Source organism: Homo sapiens, chromosome 7, assembly GCF_000001405.40.
Source record: "Homo sapiens chromosome 7, GRCh38.p14 Primary Assembly".
In the NCBI taxonomy this organism is placed as follows: domain Eukaryota; kingdom Metazoa; phylum Chordata; class Mammalia; order Primates; family Hominidae; genus Homo; species Homo sapiens.
In genome coordinates, this window is record NC_000007.14 from 126,607,173 (window position 1) to 126,625,275 (window position 18,103).

Below are 18,103 nucleotides of genomic sequence, written 5' to 3' on the forward strand. Positions count from 1 at the left end.
TTGTGTTTCAATAAATGTCAATATGGATTGCAGAACAATGGATAAGATTTCATGAAGCACCTAGAAGTAGTAAAGTATTGATATGTGGCCTTACGTATCACTACAATAGTTAGAAACATAAGCTGTCTGTGCATTATTAAATGCATAGCTGCAATAATTATGAGGAAGAAAATAAATCATAATCTCCCTAGTTTTGTAATTTCTCATCGTCTAATTTTCTGAGAACTTGGGTGACTGGTGCTGCATAGACATATCACTTTGGGGGACATATTTGGAAATACAAAACAAAAAAAAATTGATTAAAAATATCAAATTGATGTCTTCTGATTAGGTTCAAACATGAGAAAGCATGTATACACTCTCACAGTATTATGGTAGCTCTGAGAATCAAGAAGAGGAGATGTTTTTTGCTAGAGGAAAGAGTGAATTACACATTAAAACAACAGAACAGAAGAAGAATATTTTCCTAGTTTATTTGAAGCATTTTAAAAACATCCTACTGTCTACCGTTCTTTTTTTATGTATTTTTATTATTATTATTATACTTTAAGTTTTAGGGTACATGTGCACAATGTGAAGGTTAGTTACATATGTATACACGTGCCATGCTAGTGCGCTGCACCCACTAACTCGTCATCTAGCATTAGGTATATCACCCAATGCTATCCCTCCCCCCTCCCCCCACCCCACAACAGTCCCCAGACTGTGATGTTCCCCTTCCTGTGTCCATGTCTACTGTTCTTGTAGTTATTTCCTGGCCACCAAATTTCTGTGAAAAGTCCTACTTTTCTGTGGAAGAGATGCTGGATGAATGAACTCTAAACCTCGACTGAGACTACAGAACGTGCTCCATACTTCTCTATACTTAAAAAAGCCAGTGTGCACTAATATGGGGCAAAGGGCTGTTAAAATGTGAAATAATTCTTCACCTGGTGGTAAGTAGATGCTGCCCTCCTTGCCCTCCCCACCCCAGCATCCACAGCCCTGTGCACTGATTTCCTGGGCCTCCCTTATCCATCAAGTTCAGAATTGGTTTCCTGTTCCAGAGCCCCTTAGGACTGAAGAGTGATGGTACCTAGCAGCTCTCCCCAAATCCCCCAAAGACCTCTGCCCTAAGAGAGCTCCTCTGAGGGAGTGCCCACCAGCCTGAGACACCTGATGAAGTTCCTCCTCCGTACTGCCATCCCCACGTGCTAACCCCACTGGGTACCCATCAGACTCCAGCCGAAAGAAACAGAACTCTGGGTGATGGTGCGGCACCTGGCAGGCAAATGCCCAGGTGCTTTTGGGCACCAATCCCAGGCCTTGGGAACTTGCTTCCGGCTGGGCTCTTCAAGTCGCCCTCACATGGCCACTTGTGGAAACTGCAGAATTAATGGACACTGGACCTGAAGAGTGCCTGCGGTAGACAAAAATAGCAGGTAGCTCTAAAGGCTGTTAAGTAATCTGAACATCACCCTTAGATACATCAACCTTCCCTGGTGTTGCAACTGAAAGAGGCAATATAAACACAGAGTATGATTCACTTCTATCAACCAGATATAGCCAGAAGGTCTCCCCTTGTGATGTGGCAAAAGTGATGTGCCCTTTTTTTTTTTTTTTTTTTCTTGAGACGGAGTCTCGCTCTGACGCCCAGGCTAGAGTGCAGTGGCGCGACCTCGGCTCACTGCAAGCTCCGCCTCCCGGGTTCACGCCATTCTCCTGCCTCAGCCTCCCAAATAGCTGGGACTACAAGCACCCACCACCACCCCTGGCTAATTTTTTTTGTATTTTTAGTAGAGATGGGGTTTCACCTTGTTAGCCAGATGTGACCTTTTTTTAAGCCCAAATTTATAAATGAGGGCATATTCAGTCGATTCCACACCACCTCCAACACACAGACATACAAAAAATGTACAAAGATTACAACAAATGACTCTTTCATAAAAGGGCAAAATTTATCTAAGGGTATAGTCAACTGCAGGAAAAAAATCAGATCATTCATTAAATTCTTACAGATATCAGGAGATTTCTCTAAAGAGGCTGAAGAATGTCCATAACATTTTTAAATTGAAGAGAGAATCAAGTCATACATTTTCTAAGAGTTTATTTATGGGGAAAACCTATTCTAGCAAAAGTTATACACTTAAAAATAAAGCATCCCTCCTGGAGAGCTATATACATTAATATATGTTTATGACGATACTTGCTTTTAGATGAAGCTGATTGGTCCAGTGGCCGATGACTTTGTACTCTGTGCTTTTGTTGGTTATTTGATACTGGAAGATATCATAACGTCCAGGAGCATCTCCGTTTTCATTAAAAGTGACAGGAGTGCCAGCACTGCCTATAAAGATTTAGAAAACAATGTTAATAAAGTTTTAGTAAGATAGCCCACTGGGTTTATTTTTCTTTTAGAAGGAATGGTAGATAAAAATATATTGTGTGAAGTAAGTGATGCAAAGATTGCAATCCATACAAGGTCATTCTTGATAGCATAATATCTTTTACATGAAAAAGAAGCCCAGACATACACACACGAGTAAGACGTGCTTTATTGTACATATTAGAAAGTAAATGATGAGTATCCAAGTTAAGCAATGCACATAACAGCTAAATAAATAAAAGTTGATAGGCTGAATATTCAATACTGGCTACATAGTATGATAGTTAATAGAGAAAAATGTAAATGTTTTGAAGCATGACAGCTATTGTACAATACGAACTACAAACAGCAATTCAAAATATGGCAGGAGAACTTTCTGGCCAGAATCCTGAGTTTTGCTTTTTCCAAACTCTCTAAAGCAGTTAGAGAGCACCGTTCCTGTGCCTCTGCTACCTCTGCCCAAGAGTATATCAATGTGGTCTACTGTTGGGAACCTCTCAATGGGTGAGGCATTGATCTATGGGAAGTCCCAACTCTGCCCAGATCATGATTGTTCTCCCCCTTCACAGTGACAGGTCTAACAGTGGCAGAGCAGCAGGGTGCAAGAACTGTAGTCTTTTCTAAACTCCATTCCTCTCGGAAGTTTTCATCTTTTCTCTTAATAGTTTCTGCTCACTTTTATTTTCCCTCTTATTAACTTTTATGTAATTACAGGGGAAGAGTAGAAATGGATCACCACCCCAATGTCTTCTTGTTCCATCTAGCTTCACTATCTATACAGACTTTCCTTTTCTCTAACAGCTTTTAGGCTTCTCTACATTTTTTTATTATTATTATTCTTTCCTGTCTTGAAAAATTCACCTGACACCAATCCCTTTTCTTGGTGTCTGTCTTCCCTCTGCAGGCCTTTTATCTGACTCTCTTCTCACAGGATATTGGATTTAATTTCTAAACTGTGCTAGAGGGTTTCCCCTTCTTGTTATCTCTGTCTCATACTGTATTCTCCAAAAGTATACATAACTAATAGTTATATACGTCAACTGTACATATTCCCATCTTATAATGAGCTTCTTATTCTATCTGTAGAGTTGTTTACCTAATTACCAGCCATCACAAAATTGTAAAATATTTAACTTATCAAACAAATCGATGACTTTATCAAAAAAACACAGTAACCTGTAAATAAATGTAATCAGAGTCACATAACAACAATGTGAATACTTTTCCAGTAATTAATGGACAGATGTCTAATATTCTGTTTTCTTGATTCTTCCTAAAAATCTAAACATGGTGTAAGTTCTCTGATGAGACTACAGACATCTGGTATCATCAGGAACTGCTGAGGCTGCAAGAGATGGCACCGCATGGAAGAAAGAGCTCTGCTCCCGGAACTGGAAGTTCCATGTCCAGGCTCACTCCATTCCCCATTGATTTCCACAACTTGTGTATGTCCCTTTTCCTTCACTTACCACACAGACTTAACAATAAATATGAATAAATTTTGAAGTCCTAAAAGAGCTGTAAATATGTACATTATTATTACTATTATTATTAATTCACATGAGAAATGACTTTATATATAAATTGATAGATGTACATTACTCAGGGAATAAAATAAGAGCTCTCCAATCAAGCAGTACTATCTTAGCTACTCCTTATATATGGAAGTAGAACCTATTTGCCAAACCTGACCAAAACCTTTCTCAGCTCCTAGTGACCTCGAGCAGGTTAACCTCTTAAATCCTCAGTTTCTTCACCTGTAAAATGGGAGTAATAATGATACTTTTCTCATAGAGTTGTTGTGAGAATTAAATAATCAACACTTGTCAAGTGCTTAGAACAGTGCATGGGGATAAATTATTCACTGCACATTTACTTTCAGTACACACCAACACATAGTAATAGAAAGGATGTTGAAAGTTCTCTAAGTGATGGCTAGACAAAAGATTATTGAAATTCAAATGAGGAAGATATTTCTGGCTGGAAAAACACGTATGTTGAGAATTTCACATTAACATGATCAACTTCTGACATTTATATATCACTTTGAAATATTTTAATTACATATTCTCTCCTCAATAAAGGGATACTTAATTTTCTCTACTTAAAATCTCCCAAGTTGTCAACTCCTTGACTCAATGACTCCTTATCTTCTACAACAGCAGTTCCCAATCTTTTTTACAATAACAGTACCTAAGATGAAATAATGTAATTTGTATAACACATTACCATGAATATACCCTAAGTTATACATAATTCCTAATGTGTTAGCTGTTTCTATATCCAAGTCAAGAAAGCCTCTCAAGAGAGCTCATTAGAGAGCCACATTGTCACAAAATATAATAATTTCCAACTTAGATACTTTGAATATCATTATTAAAATCAAGTTACACTAAATTTGACATTGTATTAAGGTGCAATATTCTAAAGCAGTTATAAGTGTGGGTTCTGGAGACAGATCATTGGGTTCAAACGCCCCTCTGTCACTTATTGATGTGGTGTCTTGAATGCATTTCTTAATTTCCCTATATCTCACATTTCTCAGTTATATAGTGGGCTAATAGCAATTCCCACCTCAGAGGGATATATAAGGATTAAATGAATCAATATATATAAAACATTTAGTACATCATATTACGTATTAACTATAATTTCTTTTGTTGTTTTGTGGAAATGTTGTGTTTGAGAGCCACTGTCTATATGAGAACATATAAACTCAGTGAGCGTATAAGTTTTCCTGATGTCACTCTCACTAATCTCTGATCTCTTTCAACACAATGCCACCTATACCTAAAATTCCGGTCCCTAAATTCATTATGCTCTGTCTCACCATTCTGTCTTTGCTCAGGCTATTTTCTCTAATTTCCCATTCTCTTTCCTCCTTACCCCTCTCTATATAATTCCTTCAAGATGAGGCTCAAGGGTCATGCACTTACAGAAGCTTAATCTTACTCCAACCCTGGGGAAGGTGCCCAACCACCTCTTTATGTCCTAACATGCAATATCGAAGCACTCGCAACATTCCACAGACTTACTATCCATTCTGTACCTGACCAAACATTTATTGCACAGATACTTTTTTAGAGCCTATTATGTGCTCAACACTGGGTGGACCCTCTGCAATCTTCACAAAACTATGGTCTTCTTAAGAAAGGCAAAAGTATCTATTATCTTTGTAAGCACTGCAGCAAAGACAGTGTTCAGTACTGAGCAAGTAATCAATAAATTATAGGAAAGCATGAAAGAGGCATCCCCTAATGATCCCAAGCAAATCCATGCTTCCCTCTTCATGACATTATGAACTTCATGTATATTTTCTGTCATCTTTTATATTCACAAACGGAGAGACCAAATAAATCCTCTCACTTTGTTATTAATGTGACATTAGAAACCACGGGGAAACTTTGACATATCTGTGAATGGGCTCTGAGTTAATCACCAGTAGCTGAAGTGGTTTTTATTACTGATGACCCTTGCATCTTGTTTTCCTAATGCGATTTCTAGTCTTAAATTAGGCTTGCAGTTGAATTACTTCAACCCTTTTTCAGGAAGAACTGATTCCATTACATATTGACTCATTTCAAATGACTGCCATGGAACTCTGGTCAATGTAGAAAGAGCATCGTTGAGTAGCCATAAGGAACTAACTCATTAGCTGTTTAATAATTCCTACAAGTTTGCCATCTTTTAAAAATGTCATTGTTTGTACTGAAACTGGCCACTCTGAGAAACAGAATTAAGTGGCGAATTTTTTTTTTGTCCACAAAAAAATTTCAAATGACAAATGTCTGTTAATATAGTCATTAATTTATCAAGGTTTAATAACAACACAGGTAAGAAATATAACTTTGACAGAGTGGGGTTCCAAGATGGCCAAATAAGAACAGCTCCAGTCTACAGCTCCCAGTGTGAGCGACGCAGAAGACGGGTGATTTCTGCATTTCCAACTGAGGTACCAGGTTCATCTCACTGGGGCTTGTCGGACAGTGTGGACAGGACAGTGGGTGCAGCCCACCGAGTGTGAGCCAAAGCAGGGCGAGGCATCGCCTCACCCGGAAAGTGCAAGGGGTCAGGGAATTCCCTTTCCTAGCCAAGGGAATGGGTGACAGACGGCACCTGGAAAATCAGGTCACTCCCACCTTAATACTGCGCTTTTCCAACGGTCTTAGCAAACGGCACACCAGGAGATTATATCCCACACCTGGCTCAGAGGGTCCCATGCCCACGGAGCCTCACTCATTGCTAGCACAGCAGACTGAGATCCAACTGCAAGGCAGCAGCGAGGCTGGGGGAGGGGCACACGCCATTGCTGAGGCTTGAGTAGGTAAACAAAGCAGCCCGGATTCCCTCAAACTGGGTGGAACCTACTGCAGCTCAAGGAGGTCTGCCTGCCTCTGTAGACTCCACCTCTGGGGGCAGGGCATAGCCAAACAAAAGGCAGCAGACCTCTGCAGACTTAAATGTCCCTGTCTGACAGCTTTGAAGAGAGTAGTGGTTCTCCCAGCACGGAGTTTGAGATCTGAGAACGGACAGACTGCCTTCTCAAGTAGGTCCCTGACCTCCAAGTAGCCTAACTGGGAGGCACCTCCCAGTAGGGGCAGACTAACACCTCACACGGCCGGGTACCCTTCTGAGACGAAACTTCCAGAGGAACGGTCAGGCAGCATCGTTTGCTGTTCAGCAATATTCACTACTCTGCAGCCTCCACTGCTGATACCCAAGCAAACAGGGTCTGGAGTGGACCTCCAGCAAACTCCAACAGACCTGCAGCTGAGGGTCCTGACTGTTAGAAGGAAACTAACAGACAGAAAGGACATCCACACCAAAACCACATCTGTACATCACCATCATCAAAGACCAAAGGCAGATAAAAACCACAAAGATGGGGAAAAAACAGAGCTGAAAAGCTGAAAATTCTAAAAATCAGAGCACCTCTCCCCCTCCAAAGGAACGCAGCTCCTCACCAGCAATGGAACAAAGCTGGATGGAGAATGACTTTGACAAGCTGAGAGAAGGCTTCAGATGATCAAACTTCTCTGAGCTAAAGGAGGAAGTTCGAACCCAATGCAAAGAAGTTAAAAACCTTGAAAAAAGATTAGACAAATGGCTAACTAGAATAACCAGTGTAGAGAAGTCCTTAAATGACCTGATGGAGCTGAAAACTATGGCACGAGAAATACGTGATGAATGCACAAGCTTCAGTAGCTGATTTGATCAACTGGAAGAAAGGGTATCAGTGATTGAAGATCAAATGAATGCAATGAAGCGAGAACAGAAGTTTAGAGAAAAAAGAGTAAAAAGGAAAGAACAAAGCCTCTAAGAAATACGGGACTATGTGAAAAGACCAAATCTACGTCTGATTGGTGTACCTGAAAGTGACAGGGAGAATGGAACCAAGTTGGAAAACACTCTGCAGGATATTATCCAGGAGAACTTCCCCAACCTAGCAAGGCAGGACAACATTCAAATTCAGGAAATACAGAGAACACCACAAAGATACTCCTCGAGAAGAGCAACTCCAAGACACATAATTGTCAGATTCACCAAAGTTGAAATGAGGGAAAAAATGTTAAGGGCAGCCAGAGAGAAATGTAGGGTTACCCACAAAGGGAAACCAATTAGACTAATAGCAGATCTCTCGGCAGAAACTCTACAAGCCAGAAGAGAGTGGGGGCCAATATTCAACATTCTTAAAGAAAAGAATTTTCAACCCAGAATTTCATATCCAGCCAAACTAAGCTTCATAAGTGAAGGAGAAATAAAATCCTTTAGAGACAAGCAAATGCTGAGAGATTTTGTCACCACCAGGCCTGCCCTACAAGAGCTCCTGAAGGAAGCACTAAACATGGAAAGGAACAACCAGTACCAGCCACTGCAAAAACATGCCAAATTGTAAAGACCATCAAGGCTAGGAAGAAACAGCATCAACTATTAAGCAAAATAACCAGCTAACATCATAATGACAGGATCAAATTCACATATAACAATATTAACCTTAAATATAAATGGGCTAAATGCTCCAATTAAAAGACACAGACTGGCAAATTGGATAAAGAGTCAAGACTGATCAGAGTGCTGTATTCAGGAGACCCATCTCACGTGCAGAGACACACATAGGCTCAAAATAAAGGGATGGAGGAAGATCTACCAAGCAAATGGAAAACAAAAAAAGGCGGGGGTTGCAATCCTAGTCTCTGATGAAACAGACTTTAAACCAACAAAGATCAAAAGAGACAAAGAAGGCCATTACATAATGGTAAAGGGATCAATTCAACAAGAAGAGCTAACTATCTTAAATATATATGCACCCAATACAGGAGCACCCAGATTCATAAAGCAAGTACTTAGAGACCTACAAAGAGACTTAGACTCCCACACAATAATAATGGGAGACTTTAACACCCCACTGTCAACATTAGACAGATCAACGAGACAGAAAGTTAACAAGGATATCCAGGAATTGAACTCAGCTCTGCACAAAGCAGACCTAATAGACATCTACAGAACTCTCCACCCCAAATCAACAGAATATACATTCTTCTCAGCACCACATCACACTTATTCCAAAATTGACCACATACTTGGAAGTAAAGCACTCCTCAGCAAATGTAAAAGAACAGAAATTATAACAAACTATCTCTCAGACCACAGTGCAATCAAACTACAACTCAGGATTAAGAATCTCACTCAAAACTGCTCAACTACATGGAAACTGAACAACCTGCTCCTGAATGACTACTGGGTACATAACGAAATGAAGTCAGAAATAAAGACGTTCTTTGAAACCAATGAGAACAAAGACACAACATAACAGAATCTCTGGGACACATTTAAAGCAGTGTGTAGAGGGAAATTTATAGCACGAAATGCCCACAAGAGAAAGCAGGACAGATCTAAAATCGACACCCTAACATCACAATTAAAAGAACTAGAGAAGCAAGAGCAAACACATTCAAAAGCTAGCAGAAGGCAAGAAATAACTAAGATCAGAGCAGAACTGAAGGAGATAGAGACACAAAAAAACTCTTCAAAAAATCAATGAATCCAGGAGCTGGTTTTTGAAAAGATCAACAAAATTGATAGACCGCTAGCAAGACTAATAAAGAAGAAAAGAGGGAAGAATCAAATAAACGCAATAAAAAATGATAAAGGGGATATCACCACCAATCCCACAGAAATACAAACTACCATCAGAGAATACTATAAACACCACTGCGGAAATAAACTAGAAAATCTAGAAGAAATGGAAAAATTCCTCGACACATACACCCTCCCAAGACTAAACCAAGAAGAACTTGAATCCCTGAACAGACCAATAACAGGCTCTGAAATTGAGGCAATAATTAATAGCCTACCAACCAAAAAAAGTCCAGGACCAGACGGATTCAGAGCCAAATTCTACCAGAGGTACAATGAGGAGCTGGTACCATTCCTTCTGAAAATATTCCAATCAATAGAAAAAGAGGGAATCCTCCCTAACTCATTTTATGAGGCCAGCATTATCCTGATACCAAAGCCTGGCAGAGACACAACCAAAAAAGACAATTTTAGACCAATATCCCTGATGAACATCGCTGTGAAAATTCTCAATAAAATACTGGCAAACCAAATCCAGAAGCACATCAAAAAGTTTATCCACCATGATCAAGTTGGCTTCATCCCAGGGATGCAAGGCTGGTTCAACATACGAAAATCAATAAACGTAATCCAGCATATAAACAGAACCAAAGACAAAAGCCACATGATTATCTCAATAGATGAAGAAAAGGCCTTTGACAAAATTCATCTGCCTTTCATGCTAAAAACTCTCAGTAAATTAGGTATTGATGGGATGTATCTCAAAATAATAAGAGCTATTTATGACAAACCCACAGCCAATATCATACTGAATGGGCAAAAACTGGAAGCATTCCCTTTGAAAACTGGCACAAGACAGAGATGCCCTCTCTCACCACTCCTATGCAACATAGTGTTGGAAGTTCTGGCCAGGGCAATCAGGCAGGAGAAAGAAATAAAGGGTATTCAATTAGGAAAAGAGGAAGTCAAATTGTCCCTGTTTGCAGATGACATGATTGTATATTTAGAAAACCCCACTGTCTCAGCCCAAAATCTCCTTAAGCTGATAAGCAACTTCAGCAAAGTCTCAGGATACAAAATCAATGTGCAAAAATCACAAGCATTCTTATACACCAATAACAGACAAACAGAGAGCCAAATCATGAGTGAACTCCCATTTACAATTGCTTCAAAGAGAATAAAATACCTAGGAATCCAACTTACAAGGGATGTGAAGGAACTCTTCAAGGAGAACTACAAACCACTGCTCAACAAAATAAAAGAGGATACAAACAAATGGAAGAACATTCCATCCTCATGGATGGGAAGAAAATATCATGAAAATGGCCATACTGCCCAAGGTAATTTATAGATTCAATGCCATCCCCATCAAGCTACCAATGACTTTCTTCACAGAATTGGAAAAAACTACTTTAAGGTTAATATGGAACCAAAAATAGAGCCCTCATTGCCAAGACAATCCTAAGCCAAAAGAACAAAGCTGGAGGCATCACGCTACCTGACTTCAAATTATACTACAAGGCTACAGTAACCAAAACAGCATGGTACTGGTACCAAAACAGAGATATAGACCAATGGAACAGAACAGAGCCCTCAGAAATAATACCACACATCTACAACCATCTGATCTTTGACAAACCTGACAAAAACAAGAAATGGGGAAAGGATTCCCTATTTAATAAATGGTGCTGGGAAAACTGGCTAGCCATATGTAGAAAGCTCAAACTGGATCCCTTCCTTACACCTTATACAAAAATTAATTCAAGATGGATTAAAGACTTAAATGTTAGACCTAAAACCATAAAAACCCTAGAAGAAAACCTGGGCAATACCATTCACGACATAGGCATGGGCATGGACTTCATGTCTAAAACACCAAAAGCAATGGCAACAAAAGTCAAAATTGACAAATGGGATCTAATTAAACTAAGGAGCTTCTACACAGCGAAAGAAACTACCATCAGAGTGAACAGGCAACCTACAGAAGGGGAGAAAATTTTTACCATCTACTCATCTGACAAAGGGCTAATATCCACAATCTACAAAGAACTCAAACAAATTTACAAGAAAAAAACAACCCCATCAACAAGTGCGCAAAGGATATGAACAGACACTTCTCAAAAGAAGACATTTATGCAGCCAACAGACACATGAAAAAATGCTCATCATCACTGGCCATCAGAGAAATGCAAATCAAAACCACAATGAGATACCATCTGACACCAGTTAGAATGGCGATCATTAAAAAGTCAGGAAACAACAGGTGATGGAGAGGATGTGGAGAAACAGGAACACTTTTACACTGTTGTTGGGACTGTAAACTAGTTCAACCATTGTGGAAGACAGTGTGGTGATTCCTCAAGGATCTAGAACTAGAAACACCATTTGACCCAGCCATCCCATTACTGGGTATATACCCAAAGGATTATAAATTATGCTGCTATAAAGGCACTTGCACACGTATGTTTATTGCGGCACTATTCACAGTAGCAAAGACTTGGAACTAACCCAAATGTCCATCAGTGATAGACTGGATTAAGAAAATGTGGCACATATACACCACGGAGTACTATGCAGTCATAAAAAATGATGAGTTCATGTCCTTTGTAGGGACATGGATGAAGCTGGAAATCATCGTTCTCAGCAAACTACCCCAAGAACAAAAAACCAAACACCGCATGTTCTCACTCACAGGTGGGAATTGAACAGTGAGAACACATGGACACAGGAAGGGGAACATCACACACTGGGGCCTGTTGTGGGGTGAGGGAAGTGGGGAGGGAAAGCATTAAGAGATATACCGACAAGTTAATGGGTACAGCACACCAACATGGCACATGTATACACATGTAACAAACCTGCACGTTGTGCACATGTACCCTAGAACTTAAAGTATAATAAGAAAAAAGGAAAAAAAAGAAATGCTATTTACATTAAAAAAAGAAATATAACAAATATATTTGATTAAGCAATATTCACACATATTTTACATGATAAATTATGCTCACATTTTCCTGTTTTATTTCTCTCCATCCTATACGTTAGGTATTTCATAAATTTTGATGTGTATTAATTTTGTTTTTGAGGAGGGTGGTGGAAAGGGTCTCCCTCTGTCACTCAGGCTGGAACTCGGTGGTGTCATCTTGGCTCACTGCAACATCTGCCTCCTAGGATCGAGGGATCCTCCAACCTTGGCCTCCTGAGTAGCTGGGATCACAGGCCTGTGCCACCATGCCCAGCTAATTTTTGTAATTTTTGGTAGACATAGGGTTTTGCATGCTGCCCAGGCTGGTCTTGAACTCCTGGGGTCAAGCAATCCTCCCTCCTTGGCCTCCCAAAATGCCAGAATTACAGGCATGAATAAATGTGCCCAGCCAAAAGTGGATTAATTTTTTAAAATGGTTTTCACACTGGGTGCAGTGGCTCATACTTTGGGAATCTGAGGTAGGAGGATCTCTTCAGGCCAGGAGTTCAAGACCAGCCTGGGCAACACAGTGAGACCCCCATCTCTACCAAAAGATAAATTAGCCAGGCATGGTGGCATGCACCTGTACTCCTCATTACTCAGGAGGCTGGGGTAGAAACATCGCTTGAGACCAGGAGCTTGAGGTTACAGTGAACTAGAATTGCGCTACTGCACTCCAACTCCAGGTGACAGAGCAAGATGCTGTCTTAAAACAAACTTTTCCATCCACATGTGCTAGTGCAGAAATGGAAACAAACAACATGGAGTTGTGAGGTAATGTTTACTCATCAGGTGCTACCCTTAGATGTCACACATCTCCTTGAATATTTTCTGTTCAATAAGAAATGTGTGAAAAAGTATATTTTTATTCGTAGGCATCTCAAGCACTCCAACATGGTTTTGTAGGGAAAATGATATATTCAATGAAGGTTTTTTTTTTCAAATGTTGGCTCTTTTGAATATTGCGCAGGGGAAGAATATGGGCTTGGGATGCAGGGACTAGAGTCTGCTTTCTGGCTCTACCAATTATCCGTGTGATCTGAGTAAGTTACCCTCCTTAAGCCTGTTTTCTCATCTGCCAAGCAGGCATAATAACCCCAACCTTCCTAAACTGTTGCATGAGATGACAGTGTATATGACTGGTACACAATAGATGTGCAATGAACGCAAACACTCATCATCTTCCATTCCTTTGGCTGCACTTATGCCCCCTTAGTATACATTTTCTTGTTTACACCATGCAAAACACAATGTAAAAATAATGCATTCACCTTTATGTGCAAAAATTATACATCTCTTTGTTAGTGCAATCCTCTCAGTTTTTTGTCAAGTTTATTCTTCCCTGCTCCCCTCATGCTACCAAAACCTTATTTTCCTGATCATCACTGCCTAAACTATTGGAAAAGCAGGAAAAAAATAAGAAAGCTAGAAATGAAATGGGTTAATTTAGTAATTTTTAGCACCCTTAAATAAAGAATAAATATGTGAGATTTGTCATTGACCAAAATGCCATAGGAAGTAGCAATTTTCAACAGTGTCTCAATTATTCATGCTCTCTTTCCTTATCCAATTTACTTTACTAAGTATTTATTACACTTAAATAGATTCACATATTTGAATTAAAATCATATAGTTTTATTATTTAGGAACTTGATTACTCTTACATGTATCAATTACTCACCCCAGTTCTCTGAAGCCTTTAGCATGTGACTTACTGTATTCTCCTCCAACCACATTTCTGTTATCTCTTTGGTGGTAGTATAATTTACTCAACACTCAACATCCTGGCTGCAGAGTTAGACTTACTTATTTCCAATTACCTTTTTTGTTTGTTTGTTTGTCTGTTTGTTTGATTTGAGATGAAGTCTTGTCTCTGTCCTCCAGGCTGGAGTGAAGTGGCTCCATCTCGGCTCACTGCAACCTCCGCCTCCCAGGTTCAAGTGATTCTCCTGTCTAAGCTTCCTGAGTAGCTGGGATTACAGGCATGTGCCACCATGCCTGGCCAATTTTTGTAGTTTTAGTAGAGACAGGGTTTCACCATGTTGGCAAGGCTGGTCTTTAACTCCTGACCTCAGGTGATCCACCCACCTCTGCCTCCCAAAGTGCTGGGATTACAGGTGTGAGACATCATGCCTGGCCCCAATCACCATTTAAAAAAAAAAAATCATTCACGCATCTTGACACATACTATCATAGTCACTCTCTGGAAATTGTCTTGTCTAGTAACCATATCATCTCCAAAAGTTTCCTCTTTGGACACCACCTTCCATCCTCACTGCAACAATTCTATGATTTCCTACACTTCCCAATTCATTAATCACCCTGTTTTGTCACACTGCTTCGCTCCCATGATAGTGACTCTTCTCTCCTATTCCTAGACATGTTCTATGATCTTTCTAGGGAATACCCTCTATTCTCTTGCGCTTCTCTCTGTCCAGTGAATTGCTCTATCAAAATCACAGTCATTGTACAATTAAATTCAATTGTACATCTTCTTTGCCTGCACCCAAGAAGCTGAACATTGTTTAATAAAATGATAAAATTTTATTGTCTGACAAGACCAGGACTAGGCTGAGGCAAATGAGATGCCCAGGGCATGACTCCGAGAGGGAATCTATCTCCCTGAATTTTGCATGCTAGGTGCCTCACTTCCTTTACCTTGTCCCTGCTGTCTGGTCTTACTTTAAATTCATACCCTCAGATTTCACATGGACAATCAGCATTGCTCTGCAATCCTATCACACTTTCCCAGTTGGCCCATTTCCCCCTCGCTTCTAGGTAATATTTGACTGTTTCATGACTTATTCTCATCCCTCACATATCCAACACCTTCCTTCCCCTGTCATTCCGGCTTGCTTCATACGTTTCCACTGAGAAAAGACAGCAATACAAAAACTTCCTCATCATTCCACCACAAAATCTACCGCCTACCTGTATCCACACTCATATTCTCCCATCCCTCCTGATGCAACACATATCCCAGGTCCAATCAAAGGAATGTCCTCCCTTGGTGCTGGGGCCCCATCACTCTCACCTTCCATGCACTTTCAGTTCAGTTATCTTTTCTTTCTTTTACATAAACAAATTTAGACTTTTGGCAGAAGTATCCCCATCAATTTACAAATCAGTTCTAATAGCTCTCAAGAAGAAAGCAACTAAAATCCGTTACTCTATCCCCACAGACTCATTCAGCTACTGCTTCATTTTTCACTCCCTTCATGGTAAAATTGTGTTCATTTTCTCCACTTTCTTATTTCTCTTTTACTCTTTGACACATTTTAAGTTAAAATTTAACCTCATTCCTCCACTGATGAGTCTCAAATTTATATGTCTAGCCCTGAATGCAGACTTTTCCAATTATCTGTATCTCCACGTTATTGTTTGATAATTATCTCAGACACAATGCTTGATTCTTACATATTTCCAAACATGTTCTTCAGACAGTCATCTCCGCTTAGTAAGCAGCTTACTGTCCAACCATTCAATCAATTCAAAACCTAATTTAATACCCACATCTATAGCAACACACAGGACTAAATCTTAATGTAAACTAAGTTAATAATGATGTATCATACTGATCCATTAGCTTTCATACATGTACCACATTCATACAAGATGTTAACGGTTGGGGGAGCTATGTGTGTGTGGAGGGGTGTAATATAGAAATTGTGCTCTATGTTCAGATTTTTTGTAAATGTAAATTATTTTCTTAAAAAGTCTAAATTTTTTTAATGGTGACATTAATTTTAATATACTTTATGTAAACTAACATATGAAAAATATCACATCAAAATATAATCAATATAGAAATATTGAGGTACTTTATGCACTTATTTCCTAAGTCTTCAAAATCTTATGTATACTTTATACTACAGCTTATCACAATTCAGATTAGCCCTGTTTCAACTGCTCAACACCCACATGGTTAGTGCTGACCAGATTAAAACAACACAGGTCTAAAAGGCAGATAATTTCAGCAGCCACTGCTCCCTCGCTCCAACACTCCATTCACTGGGGATGAAGGCCCACTGCTGAGCCTTTCTCATCTGGCCTCCTCTTCAACTGGACTGAACCCCCCTTCAATCATTTCTTCCCTAAATGTATGTGGACCAACCAAAGACTGACGTATGGCTCAGTGGATGCCAGATCTGGAGACCAGATCCTAAAATAAAATCTAAACTTCTCCAGAGGTAAAAATAAACAAGGCCCATATCTAGGCCAGGCATGGTGGCATACACCTGTAATTCCAGCCACTTAAGAGGCTGAGTTGGGAGGATGGCTTGAGCCCGGGAGGTGGAAGCTGCAGTGAGCTGTGATAGCACCACTGCACTCCAGCCTGGGTGACAGAGAGAGAACCTGTCCCCACCCCCTGCTCAAAAAAGCTTACATCTAATGCATGGACAGGTTCTATCTTCAGAACGTATCTAGAATTTGCCCATTCTTTTTACCCCCTCTTGCATTAACCTTGTCTTGGCTACTATAACCTCTCCCTGAACTCTTAGCAGGTATCCTGCATTCACACTGAACAACAACAATCCACTCTCTACCCTACAGTCAGAATGTCAATGAAACACAAATCAAATAATATCCCTCTTCTTGATATCCTTCAATGGCTTCCCATTTCACTTAGAATAAAACTCAAAGGCTTATCATGGCCTTTAAGTCTCTTATTTATCTGATCTTGCTCATTTTCTGTACTCCTTCCAACCTGGTCTTCTTTCTGTTTGCAAGCACATGAAGGTTGCTCTCTCTCAGGGATTTTCTGTTTTCTCTTCCCAGTGTTCTTCCCGACTTGATCTTCTGACTGGCTTCTTTCATTACTCGTATCCCACCCAAAATATCAAGAGAGGCTTGTCGGATCACCATATCTAATTTAGCCTGATTTCTATCCCTGTCATTCACTATTACACACATTATTGCCTTCATAGTACTTTTAAATATCTAAAAATATTTGGTTTGTTTAACTGATCGATATAAATCGCTGGATGATATGCCTGTGATTGTGGAAAATATTTCTATCACATTCTCCACCATATATATAGCTCAGACTATTGGATGAGGATCCAAATAAATATTATCTTTTTCCTGGGCACATAGCTAGGCTACCCTTTTCCAGTCTTCCTTGCACTTAGGCATGGCCAAATTATTAGTTCAGACAATCAATTGTGAGCACACGTGATATGCACTACATAGGAGGGCATTAAAACCCCCTAAGTGGTCTTCTATGGTCTTTTCTCTTCCTAGCTGGCTAGAATGAAAATGTTATGCTGGACACTTTGAGCATCTGCATGTTAAAAACGACAGAACTTACATTAGGCTGGATTCCAGCGTGAGTGCATGAATATCCGTGCTACTAACCTGTTAATCCACCATTCCTTTAGCATAATTGTGTGAGTATAAAACAAACTTCTATTCTGTTTGAGTCATTACAGGTTGTCAGTCTATTTCTTCCAGCAGACACCCATAACATCCAAATATCTAGTGAGTTCTCAATGAATAGTTATTAAATGAATAAGTGAAATCATATTAAGTCTGGAAATAAATGTTTCACTTCATGTCACATTATAAAGCTTCAAGAATAGTGTAGAGTGAGTATCAGACACTGGCATGGATTAATAACTTGTTTCAGATTGTCCTTAAGAGTTAATACTCATTACTTCAATGTGGATATATATAATATAAGGTGGACTTGAGAA

The 18,103-nt window shown here is 39.7% G+C and overlaps 1 protein-coding gene across 24 annotated transcripts in view; it reads right to left on the reverse strand.

Annotated features, from left to right (window-relative positions):
* GRM8 (glutamate metabotropic receptor 8) overlaps positions 1-18,103 on the reverse strand; it is an 814,344-nt gene that overhangs the window by 168,575 nt on the left and 627,666 nt on the right. For 23 of the 24 annotated variants that reach the window (NR_163849.1, NR_028041.1, NM_001371087.1 and 20 more), the window contains one exon: positions 2,190-2,326. Coding sequence is in view for 21 of the 24 variants with exons in the window: in NM_001371087.1 (NP_001358016.1) it covers positions 2,190-2,326 (137 nt within the window). In the remaining 3 variants the exon portion in view is untranslated. Of the gene's footprint in view, positions 1-2,185; positions 2,327-18,103 lie in introns of all 24 variants that reach the window. The other variant, NR_163850.1, reaches the window with a different exon arrangement.